The sequence below is a fragment of the Homo sapiens genome, chromosome 2, assembly GCF_000001405.40.
Source record: "Homo sapiens chromosome 2, GRCh38.p14 Primary Assembly".
In the NCBI taxonomy this organism is placed as follows: Eukaryota; Metazoa; Chordata; class Mammalia; order Primates; family Hominidae; genus Homo; species Homo sapiens.
Window position 1 is genome coordinate 203,010,911 of NC_000002.12, and position 24,003 is coordinate 203,034,913.

At 39.4% G+C, this 24,003-nt stretch overlaps 1 protein-coding gene across 8 annotated transcripts in view, besides 3 other annotated features; it reads left to right on the forward strand.

The window, feature by feature from the left end:
- Nucleotides 3,645–4,198: an enhancer, noted in NCBI's record as "H3K27ac hESC enhancer chr2:203879278-203879831 (GRCh37/hg19 assembly coordinates)". NCBI's record gives its function as "activates a minimal SCP1, AML or CMV promoter by ChIP-STARR-seq in naive H9 embryonic stem cells {active_cell/tissue: H9 hESC(naive)}" and the evidence as "EXISTENCE:reporter gene assay evidence [ECO:0000049][PMID:30033119]".
- Nucleotides 3,698–24,003, forward strand: part of NBEAL1 (neurobeachin like 1) — a 210,587-nt gene continuing 190,281 nt past the window's right edge. For 5 of the 8 annotated variants that reach the window (NM_001378026.1, NM_001114132.2, XM_006712698.5 and 2 more), the window contains exons 1-2: nucleotides 3,965–4,072; nucleotides 5,246–5,525. In NM_001378026.1, the coding sequence (NP_001364955.1) occupies nucleotides 5,475–5,525 (51 nt within the window). In that variant the 5' untranslated portion in view covers nucleotides 3,965–4,072; nucleotides 5,246–5,474. Of the gene's footprint in view, nucleotides 3,799–3,964; nucleotides 4,073–4,807; nucleotides 4,955–5,245; nucleotides 5,526–24,003 lie in introns of those variants that run through there. The other 3 variants (XM_011511658.4, XM_047445554.1, XM_011511659.3) reach the window with 2 other exon arrangements.
- Nucleotides 3,837–4,066: a silencer, noted in NCBI's record as "silent region_12252". NCBI's record gives its function as "represses an Ori minimal core promoter by ATAC-STARR-seq in GM12878 lymphoblastoid cells {active_cell/tissue: GM12878}" and the evidence as "EXISTENCE:reporter gene assay evidence [ECO:0000049][PMID:35858748]".
- Nucleotides 7,356–7,650: a silencer, noted in NCBI's record as "tiled region #6032; HepG2 Repressive DNase unmatched - State 2:TssF". NCBI's record gives its function as "represses a minimal TATA promoter and a strong SV40 promoter by Sharpr-MPRA in HepG2 cells {active_cell/tissue: HepG2}" and the evidence as "EXISTENCE:reporter gene assay evidence [ECO:0000049][PMID:27701403]".

Below are 24,003 nucleotides of genomic sequence, written 5' to 3' on the forward strand. Positions count from 1 at the left end.
CTTAGTTGAATTATCATACGGAAAAGAGAATCAACTAGTAGACTCCTAGAGACAATACGGGTAAGTTTTCTGAGTTTCTCCTTGTCAATGCATAGCTTGAGATCTCCTAGGAGACAGAAAGAAGGGACACACAGGTTACATGTTTTAGTTCTTTGTGTGTTTATTAAGGGTCAGTCCTCTGGAATCTTCCTATTTGCTGGCAAAGCTGAGGACTGCCTCTATGATAGACACCAAAGCAAAATACTGCTATCATTTGAGTCCCAGTAGGGACTGTCATGTGGCATCTTAGACAATGTATTTCTGTCTTTCTAGCTGTAACTGCAATAATGTCATGCTTGGAGATTCAATGCCTATATGCAGCAATTGGTTTGGTTTTGTGTCACAGCCACAGATTATACCTCTACAAATCTGTGTCACCAGTCAGACCCAAGGGGAAGAAAATAAGAATAGATGGATGAATCCATGCAAATCTATCAGTACTGCCTCCAAAACCAACCAAATGCATTCTGTATTAACTGTAGGAAACTTTCAAAGTGTGGTTGTGAATTAGCAGCACTAGCATCGGTTGGGAGCTTAATAGACTGCTGACCCACTGAATCCCAGCCCTACGAAATCAAAATCAGCATTTTAACAAGATCCTCAGGTTATCAGTATGCACGTGAAAGTTTGAGAAGCAAGTTGTACCATATTATCAACTTTTGTTTATAGACAACACATTTATTACTTTTTGCTCTAGTTTACAAATTATGTTTTATAGTGCTAGTCTTTTGAAGAGTCCAACATGCTGTAAATTAACAGTTTATAGAAAAACTGGATGGATTCAGGATATAGAGGCATATGGTGAAAAAGCTAATTTCTTTCATTCATATTAGTCTGGAAATATTTATTGAATTCCTACTGTGTGTTCCAGAACTGTTCAAGAACCTGAAGATATAGCAGTGAACAAGTCCCTGTTTTCATGGTGCTTACATTTTATTAGGGGGAACACACACTGGACAAACAAATGATATATTAATATCAGCTGATACGTGCTACAGTGAAAGAGAAGGAAGAGACGTTGCTATTTTGGCAAGAAGGGTCAAGGAATGCTTCACGGATACAGTGATTCTTTTCATTTTATTTCACTTTTTTAGAGACAGGGTCTTGCTCTTTTGCCCGAGCTGCAGTGCAGTGACATGATCATAGCTCACTGCAGCCTTGAACTAATCTCAAGTGATCCTCATGCCTCAGCCTCCCAAGTAGGTAGGGCTGCAGGCAAGTACCACCACACTGGGCTAATTTTTTTCTTAATTTTTTTATAGAGGTGGGGGTCTCACTGTGGTGCTCAGTCTGGTTTCGAACTCCCGGCCTCAAGCAATCCTGCCTTAACCTCCCGAAGTGCTGGGATTACAGGTGTGTGCCACTACACCCAGCCTGGATAAGGTGGTTCTTAAAGATTTTGTGCAGCCCGGGCACAGTGGCTCACACCTGTAATCCCAGCACTTTGGGAGGCCAAGGCTGGTAGATCACCTGAGGTCAGGAGTTTGAGACCAGCCTGGCCAACATGGTGAAACCCCATCTCTACTAAAAATACAAAAATTAGCCAGGCGTGGTGGTGGGCGCCTGTAATCCCAGCTACTCAGGAGGCTGAAGCAGGAGAATTGCTTGAACCTGGGAGGTGGAGGTTGCAGTGAGCCGAGATCACACCACTGCACTCCAGCCTAGGTGACAGAGTGAGACTCTGTCTCAAAACAAAAAAAAAAAAGAAAAAGATTTTGTGCAGACATCTGGGGAAAGAGATGTCCAGGTAGAAGGGTTAGCATGTGAAAATCCCTGAGGCTGGAGTGTGCTTTGTGCCTTTGAAAAGCAGCAAAGAAGTCATGTCTCAAGTAAGGTAAGAAAGGCCAGAATAGTTAGAGAAGTCAGAGAGGAAAATGTTGGAGGAAAATGAAGTAGGTCCTTGCAGGCCTTTTAAAGTGGAATGGGAAGCCATTGGAGGCTTTTTAGCAGAGAAGTGACATCTTACTTCCATGTTAAAAGATCTCTGTGTTTGCTATGTTGAGAATAATCCACGGATTTGGGGTAGAGTCACGGGCAGAGTCAGGGAAACAAGTTGGAAGGCTATTACAATAAACTAGAAAGTATTTTGTATAACTTAAACCATTTTAAAGACAGTAGCCACGGCTAGGTGCAATGGCTGACGCCTGGAGTCCCAGCACTTCAGAAGGCCGAGGCAGGAGGCTCCCTTGAGCCAAGGAGTTCGAGACCAGCCTGGGCGACATACGAAGCCCCTGCCTCTAATTTAAAAAAAAAAAAGGGAAAAGAAATAAAGATAGTGGTTACTACTACTATACCACCATCCATTTAAGGAAGAAAGTGTGGAGAGATGGTTAGGTATATTTTGGAGATATAGCTGAAAAGATTAGATTGGAAGTGAAGTACATGAGGAAGACAGCAAGCACACTTCCTAGGTTCTTGTACTGAGCAAGTACAAGAATAGAGTTGCTAAGTACTAAAATAGGGTATCCCAAAGGAAAAGCATATTTTCCCCCCAAAATTTTGACATATAAATTTCACATGCCTAATGGACAACCAAGGAGAAATGCTGAATGTAAAATGTAATTTCAGGATAAAAAATTGAAGGTGTAATTTGCAAGCAACTACTCTCAATTCTGCCATGGTAGAGTGAAAGCAGCTATAGGCAATACTAAAGGAATGGGCATGGTTGTGTTCCACTAAAATTTTAGGACACTGAAACTTGAATTTGAATTTCGTCTAATTTTCACATCTCAAAATATTGTTCTTTTGATTTTCGTTAAGCAAGTTGCAACCAGAATGGACTGCAAAGCCTATAACATTTATTGTCTGGCTCTTTTTATTTTATTTTTATTTTTTGAGACAGTGTCTCGCTCTGTCGCCCAGGCTGGAGTACAGTGGCGCCATCGGAGCTCACTGCAACCTTCACTCCCAGGTTCAAGCGATTCTCCCACCTTAGCTTCTAAGTAGCTGGAACTACAGGCGTGCACCACCACGCCAAGCTAATTAAAATTTCTTTTGCAGAGACAGGGTCTCATTCTGTTGCCCAGGCTGATCTCCTGGGTTCAAGGGATTCGCCCGCCTAGACCTCCCAAAATTCTGGAATTACAGGCGATAGCCACTGCGCCTCGTCTCTGGCTCTTCACAGGCAATTTGTGGATCCTTGTTACAAATGAAACAAGATGGGACATTAGTTGATCATTTTTGAAGTTGGGTGACGGTATACAGGGTTTCGTTATACTAGTTTACTTTAGAATATACTTGAAATCTTTCACAATAAAAAGTTGTGGAAATGTTTAACAAAGGTGAGTTATCTTACGCGTTTTTCTTTCCTTATACAAAAACCAAATCTCTCTGAAAGTTGTCTATAGTTAGTAAAGCCTTTTGCTTCTTTTCTGAAAAAGAAAAACCCTTTCGAAGTCTTTAGTGGTGGTAAAATAAGCCCTTTGGATATGACACTCGGTGACGACGAAAGCAGGCACAAAAGGAAAAGAGGAGTTTTTGGGGGGTGTCTGTGTGTGTTTTGTCTTTTTACATTACTCTAAATTCCCAGAACCAATCCCGGTTCTACAAATAAGTGAAACAAAATCCCCTTTAACACCGTAGGGTCTCACGCCCTCAGATGACTCACGGAAATGACGCCATCAGCGAAAAGCGGGGCGGGCGTAGACGTCAGCACGTCAGCCCTCCTCCATGTCCAGCTGAGGGAAGGCTCGTTTCAGTGCCGCGGCCGGCGCCCGCCAAGGGATGGGCAGCCAGAGCCTGTCGACTGCGGCTGCGCAGGTATGCTGGGGCGGGGCTTCAGGTCACCCCGCCCATCCCCAGCCTACGCGACCATTGAACAGCTGCCGCCCAACGGCTGGGTAAATCCTCAGCGGCCGAAATGATTAGCCCAGGGGGCAGCCCCGCCCCCTGCTCCTCCCGGCCTCTCGCCCCGCCCCCATGTCCCGCCCGCTCGTCTGCCTGGCTGCGGGGTGACACGGGGCTTCGCCTTGGGAAGGGGTCGAGGGAAGCAGTTAGACGGCTGCCGGGCGGCGGCTGCCGCGCGGCACACAATGTGAGCCCGGTGATGGGGAGCGGGCCGTTGGGAAGAGGGGGCGGCATGGCAAGAAATGGGAGGGCCCCGGTGCTTGGTGGTGGAGGGGCTGCAGAGTGAGGGGCGGCTTTGAGTGGGCTAGGCTGTCAGGGAGTGTTCCGATACTGTAGTGCAGGCTGGGATCGCGGTCGGGAGACGCCGAGTCCGCATTCCTCAGTTCTAGAGCTTCTCTTGGCAGCTCGGCACACCTTAAGTTTGCCTCTGTTTGGGTTGTCTTGGGATGTGAGGAGGAAATTAAAAGATTCCCCCAAACACTTGGATGCTTCTTTGGGAAGTTCCTCGCCGGTGTGTGCGTGCCCACTTCTCTTGGATGGAAAGGTGGAGAGGCCAGGTGGGCGGGTGGACTTCCACTCTCCGAGGATTGTTAGAACAAACGAACTGGGAATTCCTCCCCCGCCCCCACGCCCTGCCCTGCAACACAGCAAACAGTCCCAACTACTCCACCCCCACCCCACCCCAGACGGAGTCTTGCTCTGTCGCCCAGACTGGAGTGCAGTGGCGTGATCTGGGCTCACTGCAGCCTCTGCCTCCCGGGTTCAAGCAATTCTCCTGCCTCAGCCTCCTGAGTAGCTGGGATTACAGGTGCCCGCCACCACGCCCGGCTAATTTTTTGTATTTCTTTAGTAGAGACAGGGGTTCACTGTGTTGGCCAGGCTGGTCTCGAACTCCTGACCTCAGGTGATTCACGCACTTGGGCCTCCCAAAGTGCTGGGATTACAGGCGTGAGCCACCGCGCCTGGCCCCAACAACTTTGAAGAGGAGACCAGAACAAGAACATTCTAAGAGCTTTGATGTATTTGAAATGTCTGAGATGTGGGCCTTTTCCTTGTATCTGTACAAAAGGTATGAGTGGGAAGGGAGTCTTGCTCCTTATTCTCACTGGACGCATTCTTGGTTATGAACATGTACCCATCTCTAGGAGTCTGTCTGCCCTAGAGGATTCTATGGTGGACATACTGTGTTAGCTGTGATGTTTTCCTGAAACACAAGTTTCTATGAAATCTAATCAGTCCATGTGAAAGTATAGCGGGTTGTTTGTGGGAAGTGAAGAAGATACATCTTTAGTTTTTGATAAGTCTAGATTTTTTAGTATGGCCTCTTTTTCTAACCTGTGGATGTTTTTCTCTTTCACAGATTTATTTAATTGCCCAACTACCACTGATGAAGATATATTGGAGTGACTGCTGAAATTGCCTTTTTGTTTTTAACCAGAGGACAGTCCATTTGTTTCACTTCTTTTTGCTTTCTTTACTGCTATGAGCTTTACTGAACGGCTGAAAAACTTGGAAAATAAAATGGACATGCTGTAGTCTTGAACATAATTTTTTTAAGGAAAACTTAAAGTGCCAGAGTGAAAGCCAGAATGGCATCCAGAGAGAGGCTCTTTGAACTTTGGATGCTTTATTGTACAAAGGTAATTGCTTTCCTTTTTATTTTTATGTTTTAAAATACTTTATTATAAAATTTGTGACTGGCAGTAGTAACACTTTATTTAATAGATAATAGTGTATTTAGTCATAATGAATAACCCCAAACTTAAAAGCGTTTAAAGGATTTTCTGTTTTCCTCTTTTTCAGGTTTGAACACACATACAATATTGGCATACTGTTAAAAACTGTAGGGTGCGGCTTTTATTTGATACTTATCCCCAAATGATCCTAAAATTATATAAGTAAAATTATGCCCTTAAGAGAAAAATAAAATATTTTTATTTTTGTTTGTGCTTTTCATTTTCTCCCACAAGTGAGTGTAGGATAGAGACATTTTTATGAGAAGGGCATTAAGCATTTTTCTTGGAATGAACCTTTGAAATTGCATCACAAGGTTATTGATTGAACTGCGTGCTGTGTGACTGCCACTAAGTTAGCACTCTTTGAGCATTGTCTCATTTCCTTCTCACTACAATACTGTGAGGTGAATATTGTGATCATCCCCTTTTACTGATGGGAAAACTGATGCAAGGGTTACAGGAGTACTGAGTAGCCGAGAAACACAGTACTACCTGACTCAAGTGCGTACTTTTATCCATTTTTACTCCTTAATATTTTTGTCACTCAGAAATAATGTTCTTTCCCCTCCTTGTCTTTATGTGAATTTTTACTTGATAGCTTTGATTTTAGGTTATTGAGAAGAGTACTCCTTAAAAACATGTTTTTCAAGTGAGGAGGTACATTATTACTTTGAAGATACTGGCAAGGGTCAGAGAAACACCCCTAATGTACTATTTGAGTTAATTTAAGTATGTGTGGTGAAATTCTCAAGTCACAGCTTCTGTTTCTGCATTATCCTTTCATGCTCCTTAAAAGGCAGATTATTATTTAACAGTGGTCTCATTTATCTGTCATATTAAATTTAGAGATTACACTGGAATTTTCTTTGACTTCCTGGTTTGATATATATTATAATTGCTAAAGGACATACACTTTGAAATGCTTAATATGAATTTTTAAAATAGCTTTTAGTCTTGCATAATTTAATACCAGAAATGTCTTTTTAAAAATAGACGCTTCCAATAAAAAAGGAATCCAATTCACCACTTTTGAAAATAGTCACTAACACGTTAACCAAAAATTAAAATTAATTTTTAGTATGAATACCTAGTAGTTTGAAAATGATTTATTTAAAAATACATCAAACTTACTAGGTTTTACTGTTTTCAAAATGATATTGGTGAATGGGGTTACGTGTCTCATTAATAAGTTACATTCTTTTTAGGTATATTTACTATTAAATTTAATATTAAAGCTTATTAAACAGATAGTATAGTTCATTGGCATACACTGAATTTTATTCTTAATGGCTTTTAATATAAACATGCATCCCTTCTCCTTTGAAATGTTAATCCTCAATAATGAAGGCCCCTCACTGTCAGATTTTGAAGCCTATCTCTTCTTGGACAGGAATATAAATCTCATTTTTAGGTTTAATATTTAAATAATTTGTGTGCTTAATACGATTTAAAATTTTTTCACTTGTTTTCAAAGAATATTTATTTAAAACCGTGATTTTATATTTTACCAGTTAACGGATAAGCTTTTTGTAAGGTAGACAACATTCTCTTCTGCAGACACCTTGAATCAGGTAGCTACCAAATATACCTCATAGATTTAAGTCTTCTTTCTAATGAGGATGACTACCAAATACTGTACCCAGTTGTTCTCTATACTTTTTGCCTTATTATTCTCACTCTAGCATTTAGCCTCTCAAACCAGCTGACTTTTTTTTTTTCCCAGCTGACAAACTTTTAAGGCTTTTTTTTTTCACACTTTTAATGAGCTTTCAGACCACTTGAGGACTCAGATCTTCTTATGAAAATATTTTCTACCACTTAGTTTCAAAAGCTTCTTAGACCTCTTTGTGAGCTTGAAATCGTAGTTTAGTTTTGGCTCTGCTGCTGCTTTGTTTTGTAACCTTGAACAAGACTTACTCTTTGGGTCTCAGTTTTTCTCATTTGTTGAGTAAGCATGTGTGCATGTATGTATATACAGGGAGAATGCTTATCTAACTCAGTATTCAGGTTTTTGTTTGTTTTTACCTCTGAGGGACAAGCAGTTTTTTTTGTTGTTGTTGTTCTTATTCTGTAGATGGTTATGTAGAACTTTTTAGTTCTTTCTTTTTAAAACTTTTATTGTGGAAATTCTCAAGCATGCACCAAGTAGAGATGTTATAGTGAACTCTTTTGTGTCTGTCACCCAATTTTGACTATTACCAGCTCATGTTCAGTCACAGTTTATGTATAACTGTCAATTTGCCCTATCTCCTAATTATTTTAAAGCAAATCCCAGACAATTTATGATCTTATCTGTAAATATTTAAATATGTGTAATAACTCCTCTTAAAAACAATCATGACACAATTTTTAAAATTATCAAATATGTGATCAATGTTCTTACTTTCCTCCTAGTTTCTTAATATTCGTATTTTCCCACTGTTTGGCTCAGTATTTAAAACAAAGTATACATGTATTTTGTTGAAAATATCTGCTAAACATTTTCATGTATAGGCTCCCCTTCACCATATTTTTATTCTTTGCTGTTTATGTGTTGAAGAAACCAGATTTTGACCTTAGAGTTTTCTACAGTTTGAACGTTTTGCTCATTGAATTCCCTTGATTTTATTTAATTGTTCCTCTCTTCTGGTATCTGGAAACTGACCGAACAGAGGCCTGATTGATTTGGGTTGTTTTGGGTGTGAAGGGCTAGAATAATTTATTAGTGTAGCGGCCATCTGTGATTTTTGCCTATATGTGTTATTTTATTAGGATTTTGCAAAACTGTATAATTTATATTGAGAACTGTCTCTATCAGCATTTGATTACAGTTCCTTAAAGGGAAGGCAGGTGGCATATATGTTTGATTCTCTTTGTCAGTTTTCACAATGACTTAATTTACTAGCATCCTCCCAAGATGATCAATTGTTTTTCTTGAGTATAAAGTCCATCTTTAATGATTAAAGTGTCTGCTGTTTTGTTGCCCTGCTTGGTTTGATGTCTACACAAAACATTGTATACATACCTGATTAAAGAAGACACCTTGGAAGATTTATGAAGGACTGCTTCCGGGCAGTAAGGTTAAGACCTCCTCCGTATTTGCCACAGTGCTAACCTTGGCACAGATATTCCACAGTGTATTAACAATAGGTCAATATTAAGGTACCTACCATCACAGCGTTTCTGTCAGGTTTTAAAGTTGTCCCTGAACATTGCAAAAGTTCAGTAGGTCTAGTAGTAGTACTACCTCAGAAATAACCCTTGGGTAATACTGCTTGGTCACAGCAATGCTAAAAGAACGCTAATGGAATATATATGTCTTCTGCCTGGGTTCAATTGTAAGCTTAAATACTAGTGACTAAAGTCCTTTAAGTAGAATTAAAATAAATTACCAGTTTCAGTTTTTAGCAGATGGAGTCCCAATATTTGAAAGAATTTGAGTATAAAACTTGGCAATTTATTTGATTTTATTTTTAATTGATAATAATTTTATCTGATAATTTTAATTGATAAATAATTTTAATTGATAATAATTTTAATTGATAATAATTTATGGGGTACAATGTAATGTTTTGATACATTGTGGAATCATCAAATCAGGCTAATTAACATATCTGTCACCTCACATACTTACCATTTCTTTGTGATGTGCAATTTGGTTTCTTACCAAACTTTTCAGGTCTAACTTCACTTTCTCCTTCTAGGAATAGGCTTTAATTAAATTGTTAGAAACATGTGTCTTCTTCCTAAAAGGTTACTTTGTAAACCTTATGTTGTTATTGTATAATACAAGCAGGATGATTTCTAATCACCCAACAGTCCTGCTTTCTAAAGATTCTTTCACCAGTGTATAAGACTATTAATTCAAGTTGTATAGTCTGAACCTAGGCGCAGTGGCTTATGTCTGTAAGGCTCACTGGAAGGCTGAGGTGGATGGATCATTTGAGATCAGGAGTTTGAAACCAGCTTGGCCAGCATGGTGAGACCCCGTCTCTACTAAAAATACAAAAATTAGCCGGGCATGGTGGCATGCACCTGTAATCCCAGCTACTCAGGAGGCTGAGGCAGGAGAATCGCTTGAACTTAGGAAACAGAGGTTGCAGTGAGCCGAGATTACGCCATTGCCTTCCAGCCTGGGTGACAGAGTGAGACTCTGTCTCAAAAAAAAAAAAAAAAAGAAAAACCCCAAATTATATAGTCTGAACTCTTCTTGCCTTCAAATGGTTGTCCCCACCCAGGGTCAAGGATTTGATTAACAGCACATTTCTTATAGCTCTTATAAGTTAAACATTAATTTGAACAGGTTTAATCTTGTATCTGGATTTTAGTTCAGTAGTTAACTACTTCTTGTCTGAGTGTATTTTTCTTAAGTATAGAAGTATTTTAATACTAGTACTTAAGTATACAGTTTTTTGTTTGTTTGTTTTGGAGACGGAGTCTCACTCTGTGGCCCAAACTGGAGTGCAGTGGCCCAATCTCAGCTCACCACAACCTCCAACCTTCTGGGTGCAAGCTATTCTCCTGCCTCCCTCAGCCTCCCGAGTAGCTGGTATTTACAGGCACATGCCACCAGGCCCAGCTAAATTTTTGTATTTTTAGTAGTGACGGGGTTTCACCATGTTGGTCAGGCTGGTCTTGAACTCCTGTTTTTAATAGAGATGGGGTTTCACCATGTTGGCCGGGCTGGTCTTGAACTCCTGACCTCAGGCGATCCACCCTCTTCAGCCTCCCAAAGTGCTGGGATTACAGGCGTGAGCCACTGCGCCCAGCCCAGTATTTTTTTTAATGTCTAAAGATTTCAGGGCAGGTGTGGTGGCTCATGCCTGTAATCCCAACACTTTGGGAGGCTGAGGCAGGTGGATCACTTGAGCTTGGGAGTTTGAGACCAACCTGGGCAACATGGTGAAACCCCATCTCTACCAAAAATACAAAAAAATTAGCCAGGCATGATGGTGCACACCTGTGGTCCCAGCTACTCAGGAGATAGGGTGGGAGGATTGCTTGAACCCGGGAAGTGTAGGTTGCATTGAGCTGAGATCGTGCCACTACACTCCAGCCTGGGTGACAGAGTGAGACCCCATTTAAAAAAAAAAAATTAGTTTATATATATGTAGTAGGCACCATGTTATTCACTGTATTTTTTGATAATTCACTTTTAACATACAGTAAGAGAGATGGTGCTGAGAACAATTTTTGTTTCTATATTATTATATACAAAGTTTTGAGACTCATATGTGTGTAGAAAAAGACATGTATCGGCTGGGCACAGTGGCTCACGCCTGTAATCCCAGCACTTTGGGAGACCAAGGTGGGTGGATCATGAGGTCAGGAGTTTGAGACCAGCGTGGCCAAAATGGTGAAACCCCGTCTTTACTAAAAATACAAAAAAAATTAGCCAGGCACGGTGGCGGGCACCTGTAATCCCACCTACTCGGGAGGCTGAGGCAGGAGAATCACTTGAATCCGGGAGGCAGAAGTTGCAGTGACCTGAGATCTCGCCACTACACTGTAGCCTGGGCGACAGAGCAAGACTCTGTTTCAAAAAAAAAAAAAAGAAAGAAAAAGAAAAAGACATGTATCATAAATTCCCTATCTCAACTGCAACCCTTGGACAGACTTAAGGACGTATTTCTATTAGACACTTAGCCTTTTGGGAGTGCTGCAGTTAGTTGGTCACTAGAATATGTAGAAAAAAGAAACTGAGCCTCTCAAAGTCTTAGATAAGATTAAGCTATTTTTGTTCTGTCTGGTGTAAAGTATCAAATGCGTTAACTGAGTAAAAACATACAAAGTGACTCAAAAGCACAGCATTTTGAAATGTGGCAGTGTAGATTGAAAACCATGGTTCATTTTTGTCATTAGCTTTAAAAAATTTTTTATTTTATTTTATTTTATTGAGATTGAATTTTGCCCTGAACAGTTTTGTGAAGCTGCAGTATTAGAGGTGATATTTAGTCCCAATTCTGTGTCTGATCTTAAGGACCTAAAAGGTTAACCTAGTTTCTTTGTATCTCAGTTTTCTCATCTGTCAAATGGAAAAACATAACTATTTTACATATCTGTCAAAATTTTTTAGAAAAGAGATTTTATTTAAATGTATTTTAAGAGGAAGAGAGATAAAAATGTAATCTTTATAAGTATTTTGCAGATGTGTGGGTGTGGACATGTGTGTATCAGGATTACTTCCATTTGCCCTTGTATTAATATAATAATAGAGGGCAATATTCTCTTACTATTTTATCAGTAGTAATGAAGCTGTATTCATTAATGTCTTAACCGAGAATGTCTTAACTGATTTTAAATCTGTACTTATTTTTGCTTTCAAGGATAGTGCTTAATTATCTTGAATAATGATTTGAGGGTCCTCCCTACTCTAAACCAAATTTATTTTGGATGTTGATGATGCTCCATTTCCTGCTGTTGCCCTTTGTCCTGCTAAATCTGGAATATGACTGAAATAGATAGTTTTGCAGTGAGCTCAGAGTAAACTTCCTTTTCAGAATAAAAGTTTTGTTTCAAAAAGAAAATAGAATTTAGAGGTGTTTTATTCAGTTAAAAGGCAAGTATCTCTTTTTATACATAGATTTGGAAAAATGGAATTAGTGAATATCTGTTTAATGAGAAAATTATTAACTTATTAGTACAATTTTGGTTATAATCCTAAATAAGTTTTTAGTAAGATGGACCAATACATATCAACCCTTATAATTTAAGCCACATTTAGTAAGTCTCTGGTATGTGCAAAGTGTGAAAATGGCTCTTGATTTTCTGTGGCTTAATAACAGCTTTGTATGTAAGGAAGGTAATGTTCTTTGACTCTAAAGAAAAGAAAACAAAATCATTGACAGCCTAGTACTAGTAGTTACCACTTACATGTTTATTTTCAGAATTTAGGTATGAAAGCAAGAAATGTATAGTTTATATCAGTGGACCTGAAATGAAAAACGTTGTTAAGATGCATTAACTTTTTAAATTCTTTCCTTTTGAGCATCAAACTTTAAATTTCCCTGGAAGAAGGTGAAATTGATAGTACTTAAGTGTAAGTGTGGAGTATAATGTGCAGATGTGTAAGAGTCTGAAATAATTTCTTGTGTGTTTTTTTTTTTTCTGTTTGTTTCGGACAAAAAAAAACACCGTGGTCTTCCCATGCACAGTTAGCTAGACAAGATCACTAACTAGGTTTTCAGGTAAGCATGCTGACTTTTCCATGTTTGTGGGACATTCAGGTAGAAATACTCAATATGTGGAGTTCAGAAGAGAGGTCTGTGCTGGAAATAAAGATTTGAGAGTTCTCATATTGGGAATTATTGGAGGGTTATTATGAGAATAAGAAGAGAAGAAGGTAAAAGGAAGCCCTGAAGAACATTGTCATTTAAGAAGAAGACAGAGTTTTGGAACCAGTCTGGGCAAAACAGTGAGATCACGTCTCTGTTATTTAAATAAATAAATAAATAGGTGACAGAGGAAGAAGAGTTTGTAAGTTTAAATGAGAGAGGAGCCAGGAGTGACTGGGTTGCCTCAGAAAGTACAGGGATATTGGCTGGGTGCAGTGGCTCATGCCTATAATTCTAGCTCTTTGGGAGGGCAGGGTGGGAGATTTGCTTGAGCTCGGGAGTTTCAGTCTACAGTGAGCTGGGATCATGCCACTCTAGTCCAGCCTGGGTGACAGAGTAAGACTCTTTCTCACACAAAAAAAAAAAAAGAAAAAAAGAAAAAAGTAGTCAGGGGTGTCAAATTCAACATGGCAGTCAAGAAAAGTATTACGGTCCGCATCTGGTGGTTCACACCTGTAATCCCAGCATTTTGGGAGGCCAAGGTGGGAGGATCATTTGAGGTCAGGAGTTTGAGACCAGCCTGGCCAACATGATGTAACCTCATCTCTACTGAAAATACAAAAGTTAGCTGGGTGGGGTGGCATGCACCTGTAATCGCAGCTACTTAGGAGGCAAGAGAATCACTTGAATCCAAGAGGCCGGGGTTGCAGTGGGTCAAATTTGTGCCACTGCACTCCAGCCTGGGCAATAGAGTGAGACTCTGTCTCAAAAAAAAAAAAAGAAAAAAAGAAAAGCATTATGGAGCATGTATTGGATTTGACAGTTTACATATTATTGGCGGCCTGAGGTGGGCAGATCACTTGAGGCCAGGAGTTCGAGACTAGCCTGGCCAAAATGGTGAAACCCGTCTCTACTAAAAATACAAAAATTAGCTGTGTATGGTGGTGCAGGCCTGTGGTCCCAGCTACTCAGGAGGCTGAGGCAGGAGAATCGCTTGAACCTGGGGGGCGGAGACTGTAGTGAGCCGAGATCGCACCACTGTACTCCAGTCTGGGCAACAGAGCGAGACTCTGTCTGAAATAAATAAATAAATAAATACATACATACATACATAAATTGATGGCTTTTCCAAAAGCAGTTCTGAAAAGAATGAAAAAGTTAAAAATGCAAGTCCTTATATTATTAATTTTTTATTATTAAATTCAACAGACTTAAAATTACTACCAAACTGCTACTAAAGTTTGTAGATAGATGTTTCCTCTTTATCTTTGTACTAACCTGGCCAAGGACCTTTATTGGTCTGTGTACCACACTTTGTGTGGCACTGCTGTAGAACATCTGAAAATTCTCAGATACCTTAGAATCCATCTGTAAATCCAGAGATCTGTAATTTGAAACATATTGCTTTATAAATTGAACTGTCACTGATGATCCCTTGGTAGCAATCCAAATGTGACCTTTGAAATCGAGTAGCAATACTAGTCGCGAGGTAGTTTTCCCTAATATGCTTAAAGTAATTTAAAAATTAATAAAAACAGGAGTGCAAACTTTAAAAATTTCTATATGGAGCTTATAGACCTCTGAAAATATTTCTGATAACTCCGAGCATTCTCGGACCTTAGTTTTAGAAACAAGTCTTGAACAATTATTATATCTGAAATACTTTGATTGCTCTACATTTGCTACAGCTTTTTTTTCCTTTCTGCAAAATTACGTTGCAAGTTTTGTTACAAGCAAGTAAAGAATTGGGACCAAAGATCCAATCTACTGCAGTCTTCTTTCTAGGCACAATTATTCATATTTCTCCTATATGCAAAATGTACTTCATATCTATCTCAAGAACTCCAAAACTCTCATCCAATCATGACACCAGTCTTGAAACATGGGATCTGTGGTATATATAGATCCAATTGTGGTTTTTCTTGATATTATGGTCTGTGAACTCAGAGGACACTTGGTATCTGTCCTCTGCAAATCCAGTTGGGCAAATATTGCCTGGTTTCTCTATCCTCAGGGAAGAAATGTTCCATGATATGAGTCAGTACCTGCCCTGGCTACTCTTCTCTCTTGCTCTTGGCTGTGTTTTCTTGGAGGTTCTTTTTTTTTTATCCCATCATTTTCCTTTTGCTGTATCTGAAGTGGGCATTGGAGACTACACTTTGTTGTGACTGAGCAGCTCTCTCAGCAGCTTGCCTTCTGTGTTAGGAAGTCCCCTACAGAAAATGAGGACTTCCCTCCCCTTCTAATTCTTCTGCTTCTAGTTCTCTTTTGTTTAGTTATATTATCTTATAACTCCTACATAATATTCTATAGTAATGGAAATAAGGGATATACTTGTCTTGCTCCTCATTTTAGCAGGAAAAAGATTAGGTTTTCCTGTTATGTTAGCTTCAGAATTTGGGGCTGAGACATGTATATTTATGTCTGTTTTTTTGTGTATAACCACTTTAAATCATAGATCAGTGTAATTTATAATGTTAGATATTTTATTACCTTATTCATTTTTTTCTAGGTCTGCTGATATTTCTCATATTACCTGTTTGCACCTCTTAGAATATATTATACAATTACTAAGAATAGTTTTATGTGTGTATACATTAAGATGTGGATAATTAGTCTATTATGTTGTAGAGAAATGATATTCTTAAGACTTCACATAATTGAAAAGAATCACTGTTATTACTTGCTTTAATTATTGGTATTCAGTAGTTGCCATTTTAAATTTTTTTTTTTTTTTTGAGACAGTCTTTGTCTTGCTCTGTCTCCAGGCTCCAGGCTGGAGTACAGTGGTGTGATCTCGGCTCACTGCAACCTCCACCTCCCGGGTTCAAGCAATTCTCCTGCCTCAGCCTCTCAAGTGTCTGGAACTACTGGTGTGCACCACCATGCCCAGCTAATTTTTGTATTTTTAGTAGAGACAGTGTTTCACCATGTTGGCCAGGATGGTCTCAATCTCTTGACCTTGTGATCTGCCTGCCTCGGCCTCCCAAAGTGCTGGGATTACAGGCGTGAGCCACAGCCACTGGCCTAAATATTCTCCTTTAGTAGAATCCTCATTATGCATTTTAAGTAGGTTCATTTGGAATCAGGTGTTCCACTTAATTTTCAATAGTCTTTCATTGTTAAAGACGTACAGTAAAATGCTTCTAGGTCAAAGTTTAATGCCTTGTAGTGTTTTAATATACGTTCAGCCTGGCTGTTGACAAAAACCCTTGATTTCTTCTTATTATTTTTAACTCCTCCACCCCCAACTCTTGATTTCTTTTGTGGAAATATAATTCAGTTTTTTTGTGACAATTTTGTCCTGGTCATTCAAAATCTATTAAGATATAGGGAACTATGTAGACTGACTATGAAATGTGCCATAGCCATATTTGAAATCCTTTGAAGGTATCAGAATTCAGGCAAGGGTTAGTAACACTTGCTTCCTCATCCCTTTGTCAGCTTTTATTTAAAATAATGGAATTTACATTATAATGTGCCACTTTGTTTTCATTAATGGAAATGAGCTCTACTCAAATATATTTTATACAGACCCTGCTGTCTTAAAAAATGAAAAAATAACTTAGCCATATCTAAGAGATATCAACATTTTTCTTGATGTTTTGTGACTTACCTTCAGGCTGGTAGTGGTATCTACCCAGATTTAAAGAAGATTAAATGATATACCCATTTCACACAAAAGTCAAGCATTTCAAAACAGTTTACCTCTGTAAAAAAAAAAATGTTGTTTGATGCATTTAACTGCTACATAATTTTTACTGACACTGAACATTTGAATGGTAGGAAAGGTGTGTAATTTATGATGCCACTGTGAGGTGAATTTATACCTCTTTTTTATTGAGTGATTTTTGTCTGTTCAAAATACAAAATTTAACCTTTCTAGTGAATGAACTTTATTTTATGGAGAAAAATGAAAAATATATGGACTTTCTGTTTTAAGACACAGGGCATTGCTCTGTCACCCAGGCTGGAGTACAGTGGCATAATCGTAGTAGCTCCCTATAACCTTGGACTCGTGAGGTCAAGTGATCTTCCTATTTCACCCTTCCAAGCAGCTAGGACTACAAGTGTGTGCCACCACACCTGGCTATTTTCTGAACAATTTTTTTTTTTTTTAAATGGAGTCTCGCTCTGTCACCAGCCTGAAGTGCAGTGGCGTGATCTTGGCTCACTGCAGCCTCCGCCTCTGGGGTTCAAACAATTCTCCTGCCTCAGCCTCCCGAGTAGGTGGGACTACAGGCACGTGCCACCACGCCTAGCTAATTTTTGTATTTTTAGTAGAGATGGTTTTTCACCATGTTGGCCAGGAAGGTCTTGATCTCTTGACCTAGTGATCTGCCCACCTCAGCCTCCCAAAGTGCTGGGATTACAGGTGTGAGCCACTGAGCCTGGCCCAATTTTTTTTTTTTTTTAAGAGACAGGGTCTTGCTATGTTGCCCAGGCTGATCTTGAACTCCTGTTGTAAGCAATCCTTATGCCTCGGCCTCCCAAAATGGTGGAATTATAGGTGTGAGCCACTGTGCCTGGCCTGACTTTTTGATTGGATTTATGTTCTAAGAAAAAATAGTAATATTTTACTTTTATGCTGAGCTTTAATTTTTTAATTAAGATATATAACTTAATTGTAGAATATTTGAAAAATACAGGTATGCAGGAGGTCAGTTACAGAAAATCTCATTATTCAGAGACTTTTAGTTCTTTATGGATGTGTAAATTAATTACATTTACTACTACAAATTATTAATATATTTAATTTGAAAAACTTCAACTTGACATGAAACTTGAAGATCATTTCAAGTTTCATGGAATGTTTTAAACTCCATTTGACAAGTGTCAATGTTATATTAATATGTCTATATATTAATATATACATGTTAATATATTTAATACATTTATAGTAATAATATTTTTCTTTCCTAAAGAATTAACTTTAGTCCCGTTTGACTCATTTTTATTGGGTGCCTGCTGTATGCACATGTCCCTTGAATTTTATATTTTCCTATTTTTTTATTTGGTTAATTTTTTAAAAATTTATAAATTGTATTTTTAGAGCAGTTTTAGGTTCCCAGAAAAATTGAGCAGAAAGTATAGAGCATTCCCATATACCCCCTGTCCCCACACATGCACAACCTTCCCTACCATCTATATCCTGGACCACAATGCGCCCTTTTGATAACTCGACTGACTTCCCAGAAACACCTGCATCAGAAACTTTTGAGTCAGAGTCTTGCTCTGCTGCTCAGGCTGGAGTGCAATGGTGTGATCTCAGCTCACTACAACCTCCACCTCCCGAGTTCCAGTGAGTCTCGTGCCTCAGTCTCCTGAGTAGCTGTGATTATAGGGTGGCTAATTTTTGTACGCCTGGCTAATTTTTTTACTTTTAGTAGAGATGAGGTTTTACCATGTTGGCCAGGCTGGTCTCAAACTCCTGGCCTCAAGTGCTCTGCCCGCCTCAGCTTCCCAAAGTGTTGGGATTACAGGCATGAGCCCCCACACCCAGCCTGCATCAGAAGCTTCTTTACCTGACCACCATGTGTGAAACTCCAAGATAAACACAGAATTCATGCAAGAGGACATATTTTACCTAACATTGCAGATGTGGGCCAGTTCTGCTGATTTTAACTGTGATTTTTCTACAGTATATTGTTCAGACCTGGAACTTTATTAGTTATCTGAATGGATAGTTACATAAACTTTTAAGAAGTTCTAGCCTGGGGCAACATGATGAAACCTGCCTCTACAGATAATACAAAAATTAGCCGGGCACGATGGCATGTGCCAGTGGTCCCAGCTACTCAGGAGGCCGAAGTGGGAGAATCACTTAAGCCCAGGTGGTTGAGGCTGCAGTGAGCCATGATTTTACCACTGTACTTCAGCCTGGGCAATAGAGTGAGACCCTGTCTCAAAAAAAAAAAAAAAAGCTAATAAAAACATACAAAAAGTAAAATTTGAAACCTTTCTCACTAGGAATTGGTGTATTCTAAGCCTATTTTGTATATATACACCTCTATTACAATATTACTACTTTTGTTTTTGTTAAAGTGGCTTCCAAACCTCTCTTGGATGTGATGGGTTTTCCTTTCATTAAAATTTTTGCCTTCTTCTATTTAATTGACTATGACTTCATCTGAGGGCATGCTTTTCCAGCTAGAATCAGTTTCCCACTTAGACTGTAGGTCCAGATAATAAGTAAACTAAAGCAAGATGGAGGGATGAAGTCATCAGGTATAGCTTAGTGGAAAAGGTAGCATCGATCAAGGTTTTAAAGGATCTATAGTAGCTTAATAGTTACAGAAGATGTTCCAGGCAAGTGTAAGGCATGACCGAACAAAGGAAGAGTGGTCCTTAAGTATAGATTTTCATTTCTGGTAATAAGGTAGACTAGGTTGTTTAGACTTATCCTTCTGAAAATTACTAGAAATTCTGGATAAAATTTAAGAAACATCTTAAAAGCATTGAAAAACTGGCAACATGGTAAGACATCATGAAACCAAATCTTAATGAAAGCAGAAACTTAGGTAAATGAAAGTCTCTTTTGCCTGGTGAACTTGAGGTTTTGTTTTCATGGCCTTGTAAGTGGGTAGGAGTTAGAAGAGGCTTCTGTTCTTTTCAAGATGGGCCTCTCCATAGTACTGAACTTCTAGATTCCCCCAGAGTAAGTGATCAAATAATAATAATAATAAAGAACAATTTACAATAATAATAACAAATATCAAATGTAAAGCCAAGGGACTAACCGGAATGAGAAATCTAAGAAAATTTCCCTTCTGATTCCCAAAGCTTACAACTTTGGCATAAGGATCAATTAGATTCTAAGCAAACACACTTAACTCTCCTCCCTCCACTAGGACTTCAGGGGAAAGTGCATGAGTGAGAACCAACAGAAGTAGACAGTAAACATGGATCTAGAAAGACTTCATATGTTGATATTAGAAGGCAGAGATTATAAAATAAATATACCAGGTACAGTGGCTCACACCTGTAGTCCCAGCACTTTGGGAGACTGAGATGAAAGGATCACTTGAGACCAGACTGCGCAACATAGTGAGGCCCTGTCTCTACAAAAAAAATTCAAAAATTAGCCAGGCATGGTGGTGCATGCCTATAGTCACAGCCACTTGGGAGACTGAGGTGTGAGGATCACTCGAACCCAGTATGTTGAAGCTGCAGTGAGCTGTTGTTGCTATCTCAGAAAAAAAGTTGAACAGATTCTATATATCACGGAATCTGAAAACATGGATTGTAAGATATGCCATTACTTTATGTAACATTTAGAAAAATGCTGGCAGTTAAACTGCAGATTTATAACTTATTTCCTGATGTATGAATTGACCATACCAGGTTCTCATTGTTTTGAAATTTCTCTCATCTTTTCCTAGTGATTTGGCAGTTTCTCTTGTCTTCGTTTGCATTGTTTGGCTTATGATAGATAATCTTTCCACACATGTATTTCCTTTTCATCTATTTGAGAGTATCTCTCATTTTCAAGTTTATAAAGCACTAAGCTTTTCGTCAGAAAACATACAATTGTGATCGTTCCTATGGTAATGAATATTTGCTTCGTTAATGTCAAATTATATCCTGTTGCTCTGTTCTCAATGCCTTTCTTTGTATACAATTTCATTTTATTGCCTAATCACAGTATAATTTTTTGAAGACATTTTGAGTGGTAGTTAAACTTATGTGTAGTACTAACTATACATGTTAATCTAGTGAAGGAATGTCAATATGAAGTCTACTACCAGGTTTGCACATGAACAGGCAAGAGCAAATGTCAGCTACTTCTCTAAGGGCAATTTTGAGATGCATTTTAATTTCAAAGATGTCAAATGTTAAGAATCTTAGAATCATAGAAATATGAAAAAAGTGACCTGGCAGTTTTGAAAAAGAAATAGACTATCTTGAAATGGGGGAAAAATTGGAATTTTAAAAAATTGAACGATAAAAGTACATTTTAGAACTTGGTAGCTACAGAATTACTTAGGAAAATTTAAATACATATGTTAGAAATAAAAAAGACTAAAACTTAATGAACTAGTCATTTGTGGTAGCCAGTCTTCAGATTCTACCTCCTGGTATTCTACCTCCTGGTATTTACACTCTTGTATACAATCCCCTCCCACATTGTACCATTGTTGATCTGTGTGATCAGTAGAATTTGGCAAAAGTGATAGTATGTCATTTCCGAAATTAGGCTATGAAAGGCACTACTGTTTCACCTCAGTTGTTCTTTATTATTTTTTGATTGCTTACTCCGGGGGAATCCAGAAGTTCAGTAATGAGTAGCCCTACGGAGAGGCCCATCTTGTAAAGAATAGAAGGCTCTTGCGAACTACCATATGAGTGAGCTTTTAAGTGGTTCCTTCAGCCCAGTCAAGCTTTGGTATGACTGTGTCCTTAGTTGGCATGTTCATTATGAGATCATGAGAAATCCTGAGCCAGAAGCACCAACCTGAGCCACTCTTGAATTCTGACCATAAGAAACAGTGAGATAATAAATGTTTGTTGGTTTAAGTTGCTAAATTTTAGGGTAATTTGTTATGCAGGAATAGATAACTATTGCATCATCTGTTTAAGAAGATAAGAACAGCTGGGCACGGTGGCTCACACCTGTAATCCCAGCACTTTGGGAGGCTGAGGCGGGCAGATCATGGGGTCAGGAGATCAAGACAATCCTGGCTAACACGGTGAAACCCCGTCTCTACTAAAAATGCAAAAAAAGATTAGCCGGGCGTGGTGTCGGGCACCTGTAGTCCCAGCTACTTGGGAGGCTGAGGCAGGAGAATGGCGTGAACCCGGGAGGCGGAGCTTGCAGTGAGCTGAGATCGTGCATAAGAACAAAAACCCAAAGAAAGAGTGAAGGAAATTGTAGCTTTTTTTTTTTTTTTTTTTTTTTTTAGACAGAGTCTCACTGTTGCCAAGGCTGGAGTGCAATGGTGCCATCTTGGCTCACTGCAACCTCCACCTCCTGGGCTCAAGTGATTCTCCTGCCTCAGCCTCCCGAGTAGCTGGGACTACAGGCACACACCACCACGCCTGGCTAGTTTTTGTATTTTTGGTAGAGACAGGTTTTCATTATGTTGGCCAGGCTGGTCTCGAACTCCTGACCTCGGGTGATCCACCTACCTTGGCCTCCCAAAGTGCTGGGATTACAGGCATGATCCACCATGCCCATCTGGAAGTTGTACCTTTTTATTTTATTATTATTTTTTTAATTTAATTTTATTTTTTGAGACGGAGTCTCGCTCTGTCGCCCAGGCTGGAGTGCAGTGGCGCGATCTCGGCTCACTGCAAGCTCTGCCTCCCAGGTTCACACCATTCTCCTGCCTCAGCCTCCCGAGTAGCTGGGACTACAGGTGCCCGCCACCACGCATGGCTAATTTTTTGTATTTTTAGTAGAAACGAGGTTTCACAGTGTTAGCCAGGATGGTCTCGATCTCCTGACCTCGTGATCTGCCCACCTCGGCCTCCCAAAGTGCTGGAATTACAGGCGTGAGCCACCGCGCCCAGCCAGTTGTACCTTTTTAAATGTGAAAGTTCCCAAATTTATTGTATGTATTTTCAGTTGTTGTGGGAAATATACATATATCAGAAAGTTGGCATGTACTAAGGAATAGATTTATATTGAACAGGCCACTATCCATTACATAACATCTTGGGATTAGTAGCATAAACACAGTCTGTATCTGGATATACTTTTAATTGAGAATCTGGAAGTGGGATTGAGAATAATAAATAGCTCTTTCTTCTGCAAATCTTTCTAGTAGTAATGGTGTTATTATGAGGAAATTGTCAGGTTTTTGCAGAAATTACTCATAATGAAATACCAGATCTAGGAAATGATGATCAGTAGTTTCTAGTGTCACAACCCCCACCACCCTTTTTTAAAAAACTTTTCCAATTGTATCTATTATCATCCAAGTGAAAAGTGTTGGGATGAATACTTGGTTAGGAAATGCTGACTTCTCCAGTCTTATAATCCTATTATGATTATCCACTGTTTCCTATCATTTCCACACTGGAATGATACCAAATGTTATACATCTTTGAACATATCTTGCTGTTTTCTCTCTGTCTGGATTCCTCTCTTCCCCCGACCCTCCCTGAGAGTATCTGTTTATGATTCTTTGAAAACTTTTTTGAGCATTTGGGACTACACATTTACCCCCCCACCCTTGACAGAATCAATAACTCCCTTCTTTGTATTATTTCAGTATTTTTCACAACTGTTGCTTCACAGGCTGTTTTGCATTTACTTGTTTATACCTCTTTTCTCTTGAACAATGAGCACTTTGAGGACAAGACTCTATTTTATTTGTCTTTATATTCATGGTCTAGCATGGTCCCTAGTTCGTACATGGTTGGCCTGTACTTTTTTTTTTTTTTTTTGAGACGGAGTCTTGCTTTGTCTCCAGGCTGGAGTGCAGTAGAGCGATCTTGGCTCACTGCAACCTCTGCTTCCCGGGTTCAAGTGATCCTCCTGCCTCAGCCTCCTGAGTAGCTGGGACTACAGGCGTGTGCCACCATATCCAGCTAATTTTTTGTATTTTTAGTAGAGACAGGGTTTCACCATGTTGGCCAGGATAGTCTCGATATCCTGACCTTGCGATCCGCCCACCTTGGCCTCCCAAAATGCTGGGATCACCTGTGTGAGTCACCACACCCGGCCATTTTTTTTTTTTTTTTTTGAGATGGAGTTTCACTCTTGTTGCCCAGGCTGGAGTGCAATGGCACAATCTCGGCTCACTGAAACCTCCACCTCCCATGTTCAAGCAACTCTCCTGCCTCAGCCTCCCGAGTAGCTGGGATTACAGGCATGCACCACCACTCCTAATTTTGTATTTTTAGTAGAGATAGGGTTTCTCCATGTTGGTCAGGCTGGTCTTGAACTCCTGATCTCAGGTGATCTGCCTGCTTCGGCCTCCCAAAGTGTTGGGATTACAGGCCTGAGACACTGTGCCTGGCTGGCCTGTACTTATTAAACATTTTAAATAGTTGCTAGGTTGTATCAGAAAAACTTGAGGGCTGACCTGCAAGATTAGTCACTTTTACAATGTTTCTGTGGGGGGAATTTATCTTCTTTTGGTAGGATATTAGAAAATATAAATATAACTGACTTAAATGAA